At 34.8% G+C, this 11088-nt stretch overlaps 1 long non-coding RNA gene across 2 annotated transcripts in view; it reads left to right on the top strand.

Annotated features, from left to right (window-relative positions):
- The first annotated feature begins 237 nt into the window (after positions 1 to 237).
- The window catches only part of LOC105377871 (uncharacterized), a 105003-nt gene continuing 94152 nt past the window's right edge, over positions 238 to 11088 (top strand). The window contains exons 1-2 of one of the 2 annotated variants that reach the window (XR_007059660.1): positions 238 to 488; positions 7085 to 7181. This is a non-coding gene — a long non-coding RNA (uncharacterized LOC105377871). The remainder of the gene's footprint in view (positions 489 to 7084; positions 7182 to 11088) is intronic. The other variant, XR_007059659.1, reaches the window with a different exon arrangement.

Raw genomic sequence — 11088 nt, 5'->3', positions numbered from 1 at the left:
TATTTCTTTTTCATGAACTTGGACAAGAATGGAGCATCTTTTTTTTTTTTTTTTTTAGATGGAGTTTCACTCTGTCACCCACGCTGGAGTTCAGTGGCATGATTTTGGCTCACTGCAACCTCTGCCTCCTGGCTTCAAGTGATTTGCCTGCCTCAGCCTCCTGAGTAGCTGAGACTGCAGGCACACGCCACCACACCTGGCTAATTTTTTGTATTTTTAGTAGAGACGGGGTTTCACCATGTTGGCCAAGATGATCTCGATCTCCTGACCTTGTGATCCACCAGCCTCGGCCTCCCAAAGTGTTGGGATTACAGGCATGAGCCATTGCACACAGCCAAGAATGGAGAATCTTTCCCAGTCCCAATTTTAGGGGAAAAAGATTTAATATTTCACTACTGAGTATGAGTCTGTTGACTTTTTATATGGAACCCAAATCAGATTGAAGAAGTTTCTTTCTCTTCTGAGATTGCAAAAAGTTTTTGTCAAAGGTAAGTGTTAAACTTTGCCATATACGTTTCCTGCATCTATGAAAATAATCAGAGTGGGAGTGGCCAAGATGGCCACCTAGAAGCAGCTTAGGTGTATGGCTCTCAAAGAGAGAAACAGAAGGGGTGAAATCTAGAGAACCCCAGTAAGATACTCCATGAGAACATCATCCACAAGACATATAATCATCACGTTCTCCAAGGTCAAAATCAAGGAAAAAAATGTTAAAGGCAGCTAGAGAGAAAGGCCAGGTCACCTACGAAAGAAAGCCCATCAGACTAACAGTGAACCTCTCAGCTGAAACTCTGCAAGCCAGAAGGGATTGGGGACCAATGTTCAACATTCTTTTTTTTTTTTTTTTTTTTTTTTTTTTGTGATGGAGTTTCACTCTTGTTGCCCAGGCTGGAGTGCAATCACATGCAATCTCAGCTCACCACAAGCTCCGCCTCCCGGGTTCAAGTGATTCTCCTGCTTCAGCCTCCCGAGTAGCTTGGAATACAGGCATGTGCTACCACACTCGGCTAATTTTGTATTTTTAGTAGAGACAGGGTTTCTCCATGTTGGTCAGGCTGGTCTTGAACTACTGACCTCAGGTGATCCGCCCCCCTTGGCTTCCCAAAGTGCTGGGATTACAGGCGTGAGCCACTGTACCGAGCTCAACATTCTTAAAGGGAAGAAATTCCAACCCAGAATTTCATATCTGGCAAAACTAATCTTTATAAGAGAAGAAGAAACAGGATCATTCTCAGACAAGCAAATGCTGAGGGAATTGTTACCATCAGACCTGTCTTATAAGAGTTCCTGAAGGAAGCACTAAATATAGAAAGGAAACACCATTACCAGCCACTACGAAAACACACTGAAGTACACAGACCAGTGACACTATAAAGCAGCCACATAAACAAGTCTGCAAAATAACCAGCTACCATGATGACAGGATCAAATCCACAAATCAATACTAACTTTTAATGTAAATGGACTAAATGTCCCAATTAAAAGACACAGAGTGGCAAGTTGGATAAGGAACCAAAAGTCATTGTTATGCTGTCTTCAAGAGATTCGTCTCACATGCAGTGACACACACAGGTTCAAAATAAAGAGATGGAGGAAAATTTACCAAGCAAATAGAAAGCAGAAAAAAAGCAGGGGCTGCAATCCTAGTTTCTGACAAAACAGCTTTTAAACCAACAAAGATCACAAAAAGGCAAAGAAGGTAGCCTGAACAATGCCCCTAAAATTCATATTGCATCATATCACTTTCTTGCTAAACATCCTACTCCTCCTTACAAAACAAGAAATAATATCTCTTAAAATTGTATAGAAATACCTTCACATCTATTTTATTTACATATCTATCTACCTATCTAATCTTTTTAACTTTTATCTTAGCATTCTTTTCCATGAATGCTTGGCTTGCATTATGTTGTAATTTTCTTGAAATATGTGTTAGAAGTCATACTTTTAGTACTTTATGGGAAGTAGAAAATCATTGAATTTATTTTAATAAGTCAGAGACAAGACCAGGGTGTGATTTACAGGGTCGAATAGTAGCAATTTGAAAAATGGACCAGAGAACTCAGAGGCTAGAAACTGAAGGAATGAGCTGCAGTAGGTGGTTACTGCAGCATTGTTGAAGATCTGAGCCAGGGCAGGAAAGGAGATGAAGTGAGATGACATGCATGAGATAAGGTTATATATGAACTCACCTGAGCTGTTATGATTCATATTATCAGGCTGGTTGCATGGCATAACATTCACAATGGAAAATGGAAGGGAATCACATAATTATAAAGGGTTCAATTCGACAAGAAGAACTAACTACCCTAAATATATATGTACCAAACACAGGAGCACCTAGATTCATAAAGCAAGTTCTTAGAGACCTTCAAAGAGACTTACATTCCCACACAATAGTAGTGGGAACTTTCACACTGCACTGACAATGTTAGACAGATCATCAAGACAGAAAATTAGCAAAGATATTCACTATCTTAACTCATCACTGGATCAAATGGACCTGATAGATATCTACAGAACTCTCTACCCCAGAAGAACAGAATATACATTCTTCTCATCACCACATGGTACTTTCTCTAAAATCGATCACATAATTGGGATGAAAACACCCCTCAGCAACTGTAAAATAACTGAAATTATAACAAACAGTCTCTTGAACTACATCACAGTCAAATTTGAAATCAAGACTAAGAAATTGGCTTAAAATCATACAATTATGTGGAACTTGTATAATCTGCTTCTGAATGACTTTTGGGTAAATAATGAAATTAAGGCAGAATTCAAGATGCCCTTTGAAACTAATGAGAAAAAAGATGCAATGTACCAGAATTTCTGGGACACAGTTACAGCAGTGTTAACAGGGAAATTTGTAGCACTAAATGCCCACATCTATAAGTTAGATCTCAAGTTAACAACCTAACATCACAGCTAATAATAACTAGAGAACCAATAGCAAACGACTATTTGTGACATTTGTGAAAACACCAATGGAACTGGAGAACATTAGGCTAAGTGAAATAAGTCAGGCCTAGAAAAACAAATACCACATGCTCCTACTTTTATGTGGAGCCTAAAGCAATAAACTTACTTATAGAAGCAGAGGGTAGAATGGTGGCAACAGAAGCCAGAGGATGGGGGAGGTGGAGAAGTGACGGTTGAAGGGTATAAAATTTCAAACAGGAAGAATATGTTTTCTCTTTTTATGAGTTCTATTGTACACATAATGAATATAGACTAGAGTATTGTACATTTCAAATTTGCTAAGTAAGTTTCAAATGTTCTTGCCACAAAAGAATGTTGAGGATTTGAGGTAACGAATATGTTAACTAGCTTGATTTAATTATTTCACATTGTATTTATAAATTGTAACATTTTGTACCTCATAAATTTTTTTCCATGCAACCTCTCTTCACAGAACCCATAAATCTATACAATTATATATTGTTAATTTACAATAAGAAAGAAAAAAATATGTTTTATTTTGTATAAGTGATAAATGATGCTGATTAACTTTTGAATATTATACCAATCTAGCATTCTTGGGATATGATATGAAATATGATCAATTCACTTGATTGTAAAGTGTATTCTTTTTGTTTGTTGCTGAATATGATATGTTATTTTGTTAAGAATTTTGGATCTATGTTTATGCTTAATATTAGTCTAGAGTTTTTCTTCTTCTAGTGATACCTGCTTTTGGTATCAGGAAAATACTAAGGTCCTAAAATAAGTTGGCAAGTATTTCTTCCTCTTCTTTTACTCTGAAAGAGTTTATATAGGACTTGTATTGTCTCTTTCTTAAATATGTGGTAACATTTGCCAGTGAAGACTTCTGGGCCTTGAGTGTTTACTGTGGAAAAGTTTTTAATCACAAATTTCATCTGTTTAGCAAACATAGATTTCCATCCTTTTTAAAAAAAATTCCTTTTGAGGTAGGGCTGATAATTTATGTCTTCAAAAGATTTAGTACATTTTATCTAAGATGTCAAGTGATACTAAGATGTCAAATATATCTACTAGGGTCTTTAGTGATAATTCTTGTTTTCCTGAGACAGTTTGTGTTATTTCTGTTTTTTCTTGTTAAGTCTAGAGATTAATCAATTTGTTAATCTTTTCAAAAAAAGAAACCTTTGGTTTTGTTAATTTTCTGTTATTTGAATGTTTTTCATTTTTTATATTTGCACATTTAGACAATTTTTAATAATAACATAAAACCATAATATATATTCCACTTAAATTTCTATGACTGGCATATTTTTACATGTTAAATATGACTTTCAAAATACTTTGGAAATGTAGTCCCTTAAATATGGTAACTAAACTTAATAGTTTGGTTATTATTTGTATGTTTTTCATCGTCAGTTACTCATTTTATTTCCTTTTTTTACTTATTTAGGTTAAATTTAATATTTTTCTCTAGATTCTTAAATGAAACCTTATTTCACTGACTTCACATTTTAAAGCTATAAATTGTCCTCCAAATACTATTTTTACTATATTCCACACATTTATATGTGTTGTGTTTACATTTTTTCGGTTCGAATCATTATTCTTTTAGTTCAAATAATTTTCTAATTTTCTTATGTTTTTTTGATCATAGTTATTAAATGTATGTCGCCTAAGTTTCAAATATTTTGGAGATTTTCCATATCCAGATAATATTTATTTATTTATTTATTTATAGACAGGGTCTTGCTATGTTGCCCAGGCTGGACTCAAACTCCTGGGCTCAAGTGATCCTTCTGTTTCAGCTTCCTGAATAACTGGGACTACAGCCCCATGACACTTTGCATAGGTATTATTTATTTCTAATTTAATGCTTGTGTGGCTGAAGAATACACTTTATATAATTTTAATCTTTTTATACGTGGCTTATTTCATGGCCAACCATATGATTTCTTATCAATGTTCCATGTGCACTTGAAAATAATATGTATTGAGTGTAATTCTTAAGTTTTAATTTGTTCAAGTAGATGGCTAGAACTGTTCAAATCTTCTGTTATGTGCACATGCATTTAGGATTATTATGTCTTCTTGATGAGTTGATACTTTTATCATTTTTTAATATTCCTCTTTATCTTCATTTATCTTCTTTCTCTCAAAGTCTTCTTCACCTGATGACAATAAAGCTGCATCAAATTTATTATGCTTACTTGTTGCATGTATGTCCTTTTCTAAACCTTTACATTTGACCATTAACTTTTGTGTTTCTTGTAAAGAGGATTTATTGGGCCTTATTCTTTTTATCCAGTCTGACAATCTCTAATAATTGTTGTGGTTAGCTCTCTTGCGTTTAATGTAATTAATATATTGTTGCATTCAAATATAAAATACTGCCATTTGTTTTTCACTTATCCAATTTTAAATTTGTTTCTCCTTTCTTGACTTGTTTTGGTTGAATTAAATACTTTCCATTTTTTCAATTTACTATTTCATTTTATCTCCTCTATTACTTTTTATCTATTCCTCTTTGTGCATGACTGTGTGTGTGCTTAGGGGTACTCTAAAACGCAGAGTAGTATGTCTTTGATTTATCATGATCTTCATATTTATATAAGTATTCATGAATCTTACAGCAGTATAATCTCACTTCTGTGCTCTAATTATGTTATATTTTACATATACATAATGTTATAAGCCCCAAATATGTTATTCTCTTTTTTTAACAGTGAAAAGTTTTTAAGATACACAGGTATATATACAGATATTCTATATTTTAAAGATATTCTATATTTTACCCAAATATTTTCTGTTTCTAATGTTTATTATTCCTTCCTGCAGATCCTGGGTTCTTTTACTAAAGATATTTCTGCTGAAAAAAATATTAGATTAATGGTTTTTTCAATACTTTAAGGGCAGAATTCTTTTTTTTTCTGGCTTTTTTTATTCTTTTTTCCTCTGGTGAGAAGTGAGTCATCCTCAATATTTTTGCTGTTATTATGTAATGTATCTTTTTTTCTCAGACTGTTTTTAAATCTGTTCTTTATTGGCCTGGAAAGTTGGCTCATGCCTGTAATCCAGGACTTTGGGAGGCTGAGGCAGGTGGATTGCTTGAGTTGGAGACCAGCCTGGCTAACATGGTGAAACCCCATCTCTACTAAAAATACAAAAATTAGCTGGGCATGGTGGTGCACGACTGAAGTCCCACTTACTCAGAGGCTGAGGCTGGTGGGTCACCTGAGCCTGGGAGTTTCAGGCTGCAGTGACCTGTGATTGCACCACTCTAGCTGAGCGACAGAATGAGACCCTGTCTCAAAAAAAAAAAAATCTATTCTTAATCTTTGGTTTTGGTATTTCATATATGAAGTGCCTAGCTGTGATTTTTCGATTTTTCTTTGTATTTATTCTGCTTTGGTTTTTTTTTTTTTTTTGGATTTTCTAATATCCGTGGGATGATAATTTTCTTAAATTTTGTAAAGTTCTCATTCAACGTTTTTTTCAAATACTTACTTCCTCTCTTTCTTCCTGAAACTACTATTGCATGAATGCTAATTGTGTTCTATTGACCTGCAGATACTAAATGCTCTGCTCTTTTTTCCCCTTTATATTCCAATTTGTTTATTTTCCTGTTGTCCTGGCTTCAGGTGAACTGATCTTTTCCTTTCTGCCCAGTTGTTAAGCCTATTTACTTAATTCTTCATTTTTGGTAACCTATTTTACATTTCTATCATTCTGTTTTAGTTCTTTTTCAGAGTATACATTTCTCCACTAAAATTTCCTATTTATTACACATGTGGCCCATATTTTCCACTAGGTTACCAAGTATTTTATTCTAAGTTTTCTATAGTCCCTCTCTGATCATTCCAACATCTCTATACTGCCATGATTCCAGAGATATCTTTGTGTTTTCCAGCAAAGTCACCAGCTTTCTCAACCATGGGAATTCTGTCTCTAGTCTATAGTTCCACTGCAATTTTTTTGGATACTACTTTTTGCATCATAGGCAGTCTCTCTGTGCCCTCTCACTCTGCCTTTAACATTAGGAGGTTAGCTGCATTGTACCCTGTGAAGCTTGAAATGCCTCGGAGAGATTTCTCTCAGCTCCTCTTACCTCCAGCCTTCTGAAGTTGCCTGCCTTAAGTTTTAGGATATCTCAGGTACCTGGGAAGGATCTCTCTCAGCTCTGCTGGCAGCCTTTAGGGTATTACTTGTGGAGACCTGCGGGAAAGAGTTATTGGGTGAGTACCAACTTGCTCTTTGATAGGGTCTTCTTAAAATTGTAATCTGTCTGCAGGCCAGCCCATGGACATTAGAAGTTCAATAAGGTTTTGACTGATTTCTTTTCTCCTTCAATAGCAGATTTCCTCTCCTTTCATACCATGAGAAATGAGAGCAAGCATGTGTCTCTTCTTCTCTAAGAAGGGCTTGTCACTTTCTGGAATGTAGTTCAACTAGGATTCTTCACTTTCTCAGCTCTCTGATGGGTTAAAAACAACAGTAATTGTAATTTAATAGCTTATTCAGCTTGTTTGAGTTGTCATGCCAAAGGCAAATCTTTTTTTAAAAATTGTCCATTTATTAATTATTTATTTACAATGTGCTTTTTCAGTATTTTTGATATGTAAGAACTGTACAGATTTGTGGGGTACATCATGTGATATTTTGATAAATGTATACACTGGTAATGGATTAAAACAGGGTCATCAGTATATCCGTCATGTCAAACATTTATAGTTTCTTTGTGTTAGGAACATTCTTCTCTTCTAGCTATTTTAAATATACAATAAATTACTGTTAGCTATAGTTGGCTTACTATGCTATGGAACATTAGAACTTATTCCTTCTAACTGTGTTTTTGTATCCATTAACTAACCTCTCTTCAACCCCCTCCCTGCTCTCTTTCCCAACCTCTAGTAACCATCATTATACTCTCTACCTACATAAGATCAACTTTTTTAGCTCCTACATATGAGTGAGAATATGCAATATTTGTCTATCTGCCTGGCTTATTTCACTTAACAAAATGTCCTCCAGTGCCATCCATGTTTCTGCAAATGATAGGATTTCCTTCTTTTTTTTTTTTTTTGGAGATGGAGTCTCGCTCTGTAGGCCAGCCTAAAGTGCAGTGGCTCAATCTCAGCTCACTACAACCTTCTCCTCCCAGGCTCAAGCAATTCTCCTGCCTCAGCCTCCCAAGTAGCTGGGACTACAGGCGTGTGCCACCATGCCCAGCTAATTTTTTGTATTTTTAGTAAAGACGGAGTTTCACCATGTTGCCCAGGCTGGTCTCAAACTCCTGAGCTTAGGCAATCCACCCTCCTTGGCCTCCCAAAGTGTTAGGGTTACAGGCATGAGCCACCACACCCAGCCAATTTCCTTCTTTTTTATGTTTAAAAAATATCTATTTTCTTTATCCATTCATCTGTTGATGGACACTTACGTTGAGCCTATACATTGGCTATTATGAATTTTGCTCAAATAAACATGGGATTGCAGGTGTCTTTTCAATACACTGACTACTATTCTTTTGGATATATAGCCAGCAGTGGGACTGCTGGAACATATGGTAGATTTATTTTTAGTTTTTTGAAGAACCTCCTTACTGTGTTCATAGTGGCTATACTAATTTTCATTCCCACCAAAAGTGTATAGCAGTTCCCCTTACTCCATGTCCACATGAGCATGTTATTTTTTATCTTTTTGATAATAACTATTTTAACTGGGGTGAGATGATATCTCACTCTAGTTTTGTTTTGCATATACCTTATGATTAGTGATGTTGAGCATTTTTTTTAATATGCTTGTTGGCCATTCGTTTTCTTTTGAGAAATCTCTCTTCAGATAATTTGCCCATTTTTAAATAAGATTACCTCAAAATATAGTTTTAAAGTATTATCAGTAAAAATAGGTGTTTTCCTCAATTGGGATGCCTACTGTAAGAAATCTATTAGTGCATTAAATGTGTCAGAACAGACAGGAGATAGTCTGTCTGAATTCTAGGGGGAAAAAAGCCAGGAAGTTGGTTTCCCAGAACTAAGGGAAAAGGGAGATAAAGAAGAAAGGCAGGTTTGTCCAAGTGAAAGGCTCAGCCAAGAACAGGCACTATTTTTAATTCATGGATTTATTATTTGTTCAATTTATTTATTAATTTAATGAATGATTCAGCAAATATTGATTGAGTTTTTTTTTATATGGAGGTTTCTGGAGAGCTAGGTATATTAAAAGACAGGAGAGAATAAACTTCGGCACATACTGTAATGGAGGGACAAATGCTCAATGAATGTTAGCTATTTTTACTGCTAATATTATTGCCAAGTGCCATGAAGATGCCATAAACTGGGATAGCAGAGAGCTGCTAAGGAACTCATTGAACCACTTTTTTACTGAAAAGTCAAGTTGGTGCTGGTTGAGCAAATGTTGTGTTCTGGTCCCCAAGTTTGAAAGAAATTCTAGGAAAAGAGTAGAGTTGAGACAGATAGTAAGTATATCCAGTGGCTGGATGACAGTCTGCAGAGATGCAATGTCATTGTCACATTTCCAGTAGCAACAAAGCAAGAACAGGTAAGAAAGAGTCAGAATTTTAAAGAAGCAGGAAAACATGACTTGTGTAACTGTAGAGAACCTAGCCAGATCCACCAGACAATATGAGTGCATAAGACTCAGATGTTAGTTTGTGTTATGATAACACATATCATAGAACAGGGGAAGATGTATGAAGTTAGCATCTCTAGGCTTTTTCCCAAGTAAACAATATCTTTAGAATCCCATGTCCCCTGGAGACAGAAATTTTCCTAAACCTCTTAAATGAAAGAGGCTGCTTTGTTTAGCTAATATAAATACTTCATTTCAGTTTAATTTTTAAAAAATTACTGAGAATCTAATGCTGCCAGCATTTTACTGGGCACTGGTGATACAGAAATAAATAAGACAAAGTCTTTGCTCTCAAGGATCTCGCAGATTAATAGGAGAAGAAATCGTATAAATAAATAAGTAAATAAATAAATACAATGATCCAATTCCCTTAGGAAGGACAATCCTATCATTATAATGACTTTATCAAGTGATTAATTTGATGTTATCATTGATTTGTAATTTAATTAATTTGTTATTTCGGCAAACATTTATTCAATACCTATTATATCCTTGTAAGATATTACCAATGTCATACTATTTCTGTAATCTAAATCTATACTCATGTAACAGCCTTTTGAACTTTTAGCTCCCCTTTGGGAAGAGAACATGCTAACCACTTGGTACTGGGATCTACTTTGCAATAATATATTTTCTGAGTAAATAATTGTGTTGCCATGTAGGGGTTTTTTTTCACAACTCTTTCAATTTGATTAATGTGAACTAATCATCTTTAGCTTGAGTACTCTAGAAGATAAAACAAAATCAGGTTCCCAAATGCACAAAACTGAAAACTAGCTGGTAAAGAAAGTGTCCCTACGTCAGTGTTGATGCTGTGTGTATCTTAGCCCACGTCAATCCACCTAAGCTCTTCCTTCCATATTTCATATGCAAACACTTTTATTGCAGTACTGGGCACTGCATTCACTTGCAGTTTGATTTAATCCATTCAGTAAAATGAATTTCTTGTGAAATAAAATGTTTATACTATCTGATCTGATATATATTGCCTTTTTCATTTGGACAACTAAAATTGATTAATTACCCACACTGAAATTTGTTTTAACCAGTTGATTGTGGAGGATTAGATTTAATGTCACAGTTATTTGTCCTAAGATAAGATTTAAAGTATATTATGAGGCATGTAAAAGGAGGTTTAATGTGTGTTAGAAACAGAAAAAACATCTGAGAAAATTTCGAATCACATATTACTTTGCCCTATTAAAAAAAAAAGTTAGTGAAATAGATTTCTCTAGGAAACAAAGAAAACCATCCATGTTTTATTCTGACTCAGGATAGATGAACATTAAAGAAATTTTGAATTACTATATTTTGAATTACTAAAAAATATTGAACTCAACTGATGAGAGAGACGCTAGAGCTACTGTCTTTTCAAAGTGCACTTCTTGAGATTTCAGAGCAATCTGAGAAGGTCAGTGCCTATCATTCTCATTGACTGCAAAGTAATAGAAGACTGCCTCTAATTGTGAGATTAAATGAACATATGGCCAGTAA

This window comes from Homo sapiens, chromosome 6 (genome assembly GCF_000001405.40).
Source record: "Homo sapiens chromosome 6, GRCh38.p14 Primary Assembly".
NCBI lineage: Eukaryota > Metazoa > Chordata > Mammalia > Primates > Hominidae > Homo > Homo sapiens.
Note: the sequence above shows the minus strand (reverse complement) of the source record. Positions and strands in the feature narration are given on the sequence as shown.